The sequence below is a fragment of the Homo sapiens genome, chromosome 21 (genome assembly GCF_000001405.40).
Source record: "Homo sapiens chromosome 21, GRCh38.p14 Primary Assembly".
In the NCBI taxonomy this organism is placed as follows: Eukaryota; Metazoa; Chordata; class Mammalia; order Primates; family Hominidae; genus Homo; species Homo sapiens.
This window is the reverse complement of record NC_000021.9, coordinates 39,341,463-39,349,844: the sequence shown is the minus strand read 5'-3', so window position 1 is coordinate 39,349,844 and position 8,382 is coordinate 39,341,463. Positions and strand designations below refer to the sequence as shown.

General features: G+C 42.6%; 1 protein-coding gene and 1 non-coding gene across 5 annotated transcripts, besides 2 other annotated features; both read left to right on the top strand.

Moving 5' to 3' along the window:
• Positions 75 to 354: an enhancer, noted in NCBI's record as "active region_18467". NCBI's record gives its function as "activates an Ori minimal core promoter by ATAC-STARR-seq in GM12878 lymphoblastoid cells {active_cell/tissue: GM12878}" and the evidence as "EXISTENCE:reporter gene assay evidence [ECO:0000049][PMID:35858748]".
• Positions 565 to 1,164: a silencer, noted in NCBI's record as "silent region_13327". NCBI's record gives its function as "represses an Ori minimal core promoter by ATAC-STARR-seq in GM12878 lymphoblastoid cells {active_cell/tissue: GM12878}" and the evidence as "EXISTENCE:reporter gene assay evidence [ECO:0000049][PMID:35858748]".
• HMGN1 (high mobility group nucleosome binding domain 1) lies at positions 757 to 7,530 on the top strand. 4 transcript variants are annotated; one of them, NM_004965.7, is made up of 6 exons: positions 757 to 942; positions 1,268 to 1,300; positions 1,394 to 1,423; positions 1,506 to 1,553; positions 4,571 to 4,699; positions 6,686 to 7,530. In NM_004965.7, exons 1-6 carry the CDS (start codon positions 928 to 930, stop codon positions 6,731 to 6,733), a joined length of 303 nt encoding a protein of 100 aa, NP_004956.5. In that variant the 5' UTR covers positions 757 to 927; the 3' UTR covers positions 6,734 to 7,530. The 4 variants fall into 4 exon arrangements, with proteins under 4 accessions (NP_004956.5, XP_047296713.1, XP_047296714.1 ...); XM_047440757.1 differs by lacking the exon at positions 757 to 942 and adding an exon at positions 3,887 to 4,015 and having other exon boundaries at positions 1,240 to 1,300; XM_047440758.1 differs by lacking the exons at positions 757 to 942; positions 1,268 to 1,300 and adding exons at positions 2,367 to 2,466; positions 2,553 to 4,015 and having other exon boundaries at positions 1,392 to 1,423.
• On the top strand, positions 4,388 to 4,494 carry LOC124905074 (small nucleolar RNA U13). Its single transcript, XR_007067953.1, has one exon. It is a non-coding gene; the product is annotated as a small nucleolar RNA U13 (small nucleolar RNA).
• Positions 7,531 to 8,382: the final 852 nt, after the last annotated feature.

Genomic DNA, 8,382 nt, shown 5'->3' with positions numbered 1-8,382 from the left:
GGAGGCCGGAGTGGGAGGTTCGCTGGAGCCGAAGGGGTCGAGGCTGCAATGAGCCGTGATCGCACCACTGCACTCCAGCCTGGACGACACAACGAGACCCTGTCTCAAATAAAAGGAAGGAAGGAAGGAAGTTACACAGAAAGGCCGCGTCGGCTCTCCTTCCCACGCCCTCCTGCAGCGCCTGCGCACCAGGGCCCGCTTCACGCAGGCCTGCGAAGCTGGAGCCCCTGGATAGCCTTTCTTGCCGACAGAGGCGGGAGAAATTTGCTACTTCCTGTATACCTTATCCTTCTCCCTTCCCAGTCTAAGATACGAACTATAAATGTTCGAACCCAATTCACCCCGGAGGGGAGGGGCCAGATACCAGTGGCCTGAAGGCGCCCAGGTATCCAGAAGAATTGTGGGTGGGGACCCGCGGTCCCGTGACGTGCGTCCGCCAATCAGCGCGCAGACCGCACTTTGCGGCTCGGCTTCAAACTACCGTGAGGCCGGAGCGCCACTGGGACCCCGCCCCCTTCGCCTGGGTCTGGGGCCCCGCGAGACGGCGGAAAGGGGTGGGGGCGCCCGGGGGGGGGGGGGGGGCCCCCGGAAGGGGGCGGGGTCCGGGATCAATTAAGGGCCCGCCTCACCTATTCCGGGCGCGGGCTGAGTCCCGTAGCCAATGGGCGGGGGTGGGGGGCGGCCCGGCCGGCGGGGAGGGGGAGCCCGCGGCCGGGGACGCGGGGGGAGGAGGAGGCGGGCTCCCAATCCGGTTCCATCCGGTTCTCCCACCGCCCCCGCTGTGGGTCTCAGCAGCTCGGGCGGCGGGAGGAGTGGCAGCGGCAAGGCAGCCCAGTTTCGCGAAGGCTGTCGGCGCGCCGCGGCCCGCAGGCACCCGGCACGCGCCTTCCCCGCAGGCACCCGGCACGCGCCTTCCCCGCCGCCACGATGCCCAAGAGGAAGGTGAGCGGCGGCCGCGGCCCGCACACGCCCCCTGGAGCCGCCGCCGGCGCCCCGCCGGGCCCCGCGAGGCCCAGGCCCCGTTGCACCCACGGTGGCGACGGGCCCGGGAGGCGCTTGGAGACCGGCGGGCGGGCAGGCGAGCGCTCGGCGGCCGCGGGGGCGGGCGTTCTGGAACGTTTGGCGGCCGGGGGAGCTGAGGGGGCTATTCGAACGGGGCGGCGGGAAGCCGTGACGTCACGCGGCCGGGCATTGTTCTCGGGGCCGGGCGGGCCCGCGAGTCCTGGGACTGCGGCCCGCCTCTATTCGTGCGTCTCCGTCTCCGCAGGTCAGCTCCGCCGAAGGCGCCGCCAAGGAAGAGGTGAGTGCGGGCCTTCTGCGGGGGGTGGTGGGTTTCCCGTGAGCCGCTGGCCTGCCTTCTCTTCTCGCTGACTCTCCTTTTTCTTTCTCCAAGCCCAAGAGGAGATCGGCGCGGTTGTCAGCTGTAAGTAAAGCGAGCCCCGTAACCGTTCGTTTTCCGCGGGTCGTCCCGGGTGAGGACGCTCAGTGCTGCTTTTGCCTTTCAGAAACCTCCTGCAAAAGTGGAAGCGAAGCCGAAAAAGGCAGCAGCGAAGGTAAGCCTCGAAACGCGCATTGGGATGCAGCGGGGCCTTAGGCTACACTGCTTCTTAATGCGGGGCTTCCATTTTGATTAGCTATTGGAGCTTTATTTATACTTTAATAATTACGGTAAATAATTTTTCTAGTGGTCGAGGCAAAAATGTAATGGATATATTCATCCTGGTTTATAGAACTATATCACACTAATGCTGCTGCAGATGTTAGGAGACTTAGGACGACAAAAAATATTAAATATTAAGTCTACAAAGGAAATTTATTCTTTGCGTTGCGTACATTGTGGCTGGTGCTTGGCTTTTAATTCGTGCTTGTACTTCCTTTTTTGACAATAAAAGAGTCAAGATAGCACCGAGGCCAGGAGAAAGGGAACGTGTAAGTTTTTATATATACAGTTTCCAAGCCAACTTCGGGAAGCCTTAACCTTTTTACGGGGTGGGGGTGGGGAGGTAAAAAGTTGTGATCTCTGAGAAAATAACCGCCACTACTCTGGAAGTGTTCATCAGCAGTTATACAAAACCGTGATTTTGGCTGCTCCCTAACAAATTCGTGATTGCATGATTCGAATTGCAGGTCTGTAGAATGAAGTTGGCTTTGGGTGTACGTGTGTTTGATAACTTGCAGGGTGGAAAAGCAGAACATGTGTAAAACAAGTATAAGCTTTGTGTTTGGATATAGCATTGAAACCTGTAAAGCTCTACATGTTCTTCGCGGGGTGATTAATTTTTATCCAAAACTTAGGTGAGAGTTTGCTATTTGAAGTCTCAAAAAAAATTTTTGTTAATGCCTTCACCTCTTTCCTAAAAGTGTAGGTAGAAGTTTAGCACTGCAGTCATCAGAAGAGGCAAGATTAATTTCCTTGACATTGAGGAGTTGTTGGATAATTACTAAATTTGTCCTTGTTAAATAAAGGTATAAAACAAAGATGTTTTTTCTTTTTTAATTTAAATTTTTTACAGAGCTGAGTGTAAAAATGTTAACTATGTTTTCTTTAACAGAAAGTTCTGTTTTTGTGATCCTTTTAAAAATAAAGCTTCACGGAAGGTATGAGAATAGTATTTTTCAACTTTAAATTTCTCATTACCAGAAGACCATGTGGTAATTCTCTGTATACAGTTAGAACAGCACGGAAACTTGAAGGCCTAAAAAATTAGCTGACCTTGTTAAAAATGTTGGCGTGAGCAGTATATTATTACCTATCTTTTTTTATTGTGTGTGTGTGTGTGTGTGTGTTTTAAACTAATTGGCTGAAATATCTGCCTGTTTCCCTCTTTACATTTTTCTTGTTTCTTTCCTTATTTATCTTTGTCCATCTTGAGATCTACTGTAAAGTGAATTTTTTAATGAAAACAGTTCCAAGTTTTACTCTCAGTGGGTTTGGGACATCAGATGTAATTGAGAGGCCAACAGGTAAGTCTTCATGTCAGTGTTTGTTGAGGAACGAGCCTATGAGGTCAGTTTTCCCAAAAGGAAAAAGGGCAGAAGGGATTTGTTCATTTTTACATCTCGTTTCTGTAATACACCTTTGACTTCATGGTTGATCAGACTTTGAAGTCTAAACAGAACGTAAGCACTTGGTGTATCGATTATCATACTACACAGTAGACATGTTTTCAAGGCATATCTTGTCACTGTGTGTGCTTCTGACTTGTATCTTTCCCTAGAACTAAATATTTTGAAGGTCCAAACATTATACTTTGGGAAACTTGATTGATTTTTTTTTAATCTAGCTTTTCAGCTGATAATGGTTACACGTGGTATTATTTCAAGTCCAAGATATTATGTATTCTATTTTAACTGTTTCCCAGTTTTGTATTTTTTGTATTGGAATGATTATGAAATTAATGAGAAATCTTTAGAAACAGACTACAAAAGAGTAGTTCTTAAATACAGAAGTGATTGTGAAACTTTGTGATAGCAATGTGTGTAGTAGCAGTTTTGTCTCAAATACATTTATCATTTGTTACTCAAAGGATGTTGAAGTATTAAAAGTCATTATGCTGTCTGTGGAATCCTACTATTAGTACAGAACACCCTGCAGTGATTTTTCCGCCCGTGTTAGCATTGAAGTTGTGAGCTCTACTTGCTTGTCTTTATGGCCCTTTAATTCAAGTAATTGGTCAGTATCCGTATGGGTCTTTTATACCACCCGCTGGGGGCTAAACTAATTTAGCTGCTGCTGTATACTTACTAACAAGGAATAAATGTTAAGCTTTCTTCTCAGTATTGATGGATGGTATCTAAAAGTATTTTTATGTTTCTTTAACATGGCTTAAATTTTGAACTTAATGTATCAAGTTAGTATGGTCATATTAATACCTGTGCTTTTCAGATTCTTCAAACACCTAAATGAAAGTGATAAATTCAAAACTGATCCTTTTAGTTCCTCATTATATGATATGAAGGGATTAACTGTAGCAGGATAGTCAACCTGACCGTACGGCATGGTGCTTTTTTTCAGGTGATTGGTCTTAATGTGAGGGTTAAGGTCTTGTGAGGACAGTATTGTTGAAGTTCACAACAAATTTGGGGATGGGTGGGAATACGGTCGACGAGACTCCTCCGGTATTCAACTTCATGACATTGTCCTGTCATGTGGAACTGTAGGGAATAGTGGATGATGGCGACAGTGGTGAAATATAGCTCGGGCTTTAGGATTTGTCATATGTCTAATGAGGCTTGACATGCAAGTACTATTAAAATCTCCTTAGCATACATTGTTTTCCTGATTACTGGGGGGGACCTTAAGTTGTCTCATGTAATAGGTGTATCAACTGATGTGTGATAGACATTAATATGACAGCTGTTATGGATACAGTCTATACAAAATGAGATCCTTTCATAAGCTTGAAGATTGGGGTTTCACGCTCATGTGTGAGATGTCCCTCTCTCAAACCTTACTATGAAGTCAGCACCACTGGGCACATTACTTGTCTGACATGAAGGGGAAAAAGTAAAACAAAATGTAAATAAGGAGTAAAGCATGTACTTAAAATATATTCTTATTCTATCATAGGATAAATCTTCAGACAAAAAAGTGCAAACAAAAGGGAAAAGGGGAGCAAAGGGAAAACAGGCCGAAGTGGCTAACCAAGAAACTAAAGAAGACTTACCTGCGGAAAACGGGGAAACGAAGACTGAGGAGGTCAGAAGTGTGTGTGTGTGTGTGTGTGTGTGTGTGATTGCTTTGACTCTGAACAGTAGATACTAAATTGTACATTTTTTGTAGCAGATAACAGTATTCATTATAATATTGAACAAAGTTTTGTACGGTATCCCAAAGTGATTGGACAAATGGTTTTCTATGATTTATGTTATTGGAAAGTAAATATGTAAATGGCTTATTTAAGAGCAAGAAATTTTAATATGCTCAATTTCAGATATAATTCAATCTTTGTTTTGTTTTTATATTCTGGATGTTGCTTTTAAATATATTTTTGAAAATTTATTCCCCTTACTTGCATTTTTCCTGGCATTTTTTTCCCACTTTCATTTCTAATGAAAATGTTTTTGTTTGTATTTTTCTTAAAGGTCTAAATAATAACATAGATCAAGTAAATAAAAAGACTAGTGTCATTAATCTTTATTCTTAGAGACAGTGTCTGTTAGCCAGGCTGAATCTTTATTGTTTTAAGCTGTGAGGAAAAGATGTCTTTTTTTTTTTATTAATGAAGCAGTGGGAGTAGAGAAGGAACAAAGAAGTCTGTAACAGGTTTTGATTGATTTGTTGTGAGCACTACTGCACTCCTCTAGCCTGGAAGCTGTTTCTTAAAAAATAACTGAACTGCAAGATTCAGTTAAGCCAGACCTTTATTTTATGTTTGTTATATTAGCTAAGCTAGAAAAGATAAGTAATTTAGTATATTGATTTTTAAATTTTGATATCACTTAAGTATTTGATGTTTATATTTGATATTTATCAAATTCTTAAGTTATAAACTACTTATTCCTAAGTTAAGAAATTTATAATCACAGTTTATTTTTTTAACTTGTACTTCTTGTACTTCTTAATTCCTTTTTTTTTTTTTTTTTTTGAGACGGAATTTCGCTCTTGTTGCCCAAGCTGGAGTGCAGTGGTGGGATCTTGGCTCACTGCATCCTCCACCTCCCGGGTTCAAGCGATTATCCTGCCTCAGCCTCCTGAGCGGCTGGGATTACAGGCGTGCATCCCCACACCCAACTAATTTTTTGTATTTTTAGTAGAAACGGGGTTTCGCCGTGTTAGCCAGGCTGGTTTCAAACTCCTGACCTCAGGTGATCTGTCCGCCTTGGCCTCACAAAGTGCTGGTATTACAGGTGTGAGCCACCGCTCCTGGCCTGTACTACTTAATTCTAACCATACATCAAATACTGTGTGATAATAAGATCACATTGCTAATCTAGTTTTGATTTTAAAGGAAGAACTTGACCTTCTAGTACATGTTATCAAATTACAGTTGGTTTCCCTTGTTTATAGCTGTGTTCTATTAATATAAGGCTGCCACAAGTATGAAACCGTTTTCACATAGGGGAAGTACAGGATTGGGTTCCTACAAACCTCTGATCACAACATTTTCATCAACTGAAAATACGTGACTTTGTTACATGTGTATTTCTGTTTAGACATGCCTTAATGTATGTTAAATTCACATCGAACTCACTACCCAGTAGCACTGTAATTTGTACCTGAACAAAGCCCTCCAACACATACGTTCTCTGTGTGGCACATCACAGCCTTGAATTGAGCAACATTAGATAGCACTTGAACAAGATGCGTGGGGGCCATTTTAAACAACAAAATCATCAGTAAAAAGCACAAAGGTGTAAAATATGTGGCACTAAGTAGACCGGAAAAACAGTTGTTTACGGCATTAGAGCTGAAACAAGAAGACAGAGTGACCTCAGCTTGGAGTGTACATGTGATGCAACTCAACATTTTTTCCTGCTCTGTAGATGCATGCACATGACCATGGAAGGGCTGCAAGTATTGATTTGGGGTGAGGGGGTGGTTAACAAAAGTTTTTTAACAAGAGTAGGTAGGTGACTTTACAAATAACAAAGGTTATTGACTTTTTTAAAGACCTGATAGTTGCATATAAATAAAACGACAACGTGTTAAATGCTAAAGATCTCAATTTCCTTTCTTTTGCAGAGTCCAGCCTCTGATGAAGCAGGAGAGAAAGAAGCCAAGTCTGATTAATAACCATATACCATGTCTTATCAGTGGTCCCTGTCTCCCTTCTTGTACAATCCAGAGGAATATTTTTATCAACTATTTTGTAAATGCAAGTTTTTTAGTAGCTCTAGAAACATTTTTAAGAAGGAGGGAATCCCACCTCATCCCATTTTTTAAGTGTAAATGCTTTTTTTTAAGAGGTGAAATCATTTGCTGGTTGTTTATTTTTTGGTACAACCAGAAAATAGTGTGGGATATTGAATTATGGGAGGCTCTGACTGTCTCGGGTGTCAGCTTAACATTCCACAGATGGGGGGTTAGTTTTTATATCCTATAATACAAAGCATATTAAATGGCAATATGGAGTCAGTCCTGCATTTAATGTCTTGAACATTTTAAATTACTTCTATTACCATGTTGTTTTTTAGTAGAATTGTTTCCTAAAGAAAACCACTCTTTGATCATGGCTCTCTCTGCCAGAATTGTGTGCACTCTGTAACATCTTTGTGGTAGTCCTGTTTTCCTAATAACTTTGTTACTGTGCTGTGAAAGATTACAGATTTGAACATGTAGTGTACGTGCTGTTGAGTTGTGAACTGGTGGGCCGTATGTAACAGCTGACCAACGTGAAGATACTGGTACTTGATAGCCTCTTAAGGAAAATTTGCTTCCAAATTTTAAGCTGGAAAGTCACTGGAATAACTTTAAAAAAGAATTACAATACATGGCTTTTTAGAATTTCGTTACGTATGTTAAGATTTGTGTACAAATTGAAATGTCTGTACTGATCCTCAACCAATAAAATCTCAGTTATGAAAATATTTTGAAGCACATGGATTAAATTCTGGTTTAAATTTTATTTACAGAATTTCCACATTTGAGCCTGGCCAACATGGTGAAACCCTGTCCCTACTAAAAATGCAAAAAAAAATTAGCCAGGTGTGGTGGCAGGTGCCTGTAATCCCAGCTACTCGGGAGGCTGAGCCAGGAGAATCGCTTGAACCTGGGAGGTGGAGGTTGCAGCGCACCCAGATCGCACTACTGCACTCCAGCCTGGGCAACAGAGTGAGACCCTGTCTCAAAAAAAAAAATTCCATATTTGATCTTCCAAAGTTGTTTTTTTTAAGTGAAATGTTTGAATTTTTGTTTAATACAGTCATGGGTCACCACTGACTGGATACAGTCTAAGAAACACATTGTTAGGCAGTTTTCTTGCGTGAACATCATAGAGAGTGCTTACACAAACCTCAGTGGCATAGCCTATTACCTATGTAAGCTGTATGGTTTAACCTATTGCTCCTAGGCAATAGACCTGTACAGCATGTTATTATGTAAATACTATAGGGAGTTGTAATAGAATGGTAAGTACTTGTGTATCTAAAGAGAAGGTACAGTATATAATATGGGACCATTATGTGGTTCATTGTTGGTTGATACCTGAGACATAACTGCTTGAGTATCTATGTCCTTTGAAGTTGCTTGACTATATTGGTTTAAGGGAAAAACAATCCAATATCCTTTGAATCAAAGCAAATACGTAATTCTTAACTCTTCGTATGAGGTTAAAAAAAGTACAGATAGGCCAGGTGTGGTGGCTCACACCTGTAATGCCAGCACTTAGGGAGGCCGAGGTGGGTAGGTCACCTGAGGTCAGGTGTTTGAGACCAAGATGG

Excerpts from the sequence above, each read along its gene's own strand:
- HMGN1 (XM_047440757.1), top strand. Across the intron at positions 4,700-6,685 it reads GGGAAACGAAGACTGAGGAG|AGTCCAGCCTCTGATGAAGC; the intron begins GTCAGAAGTGTG and ends TTTCTTTTGCAG.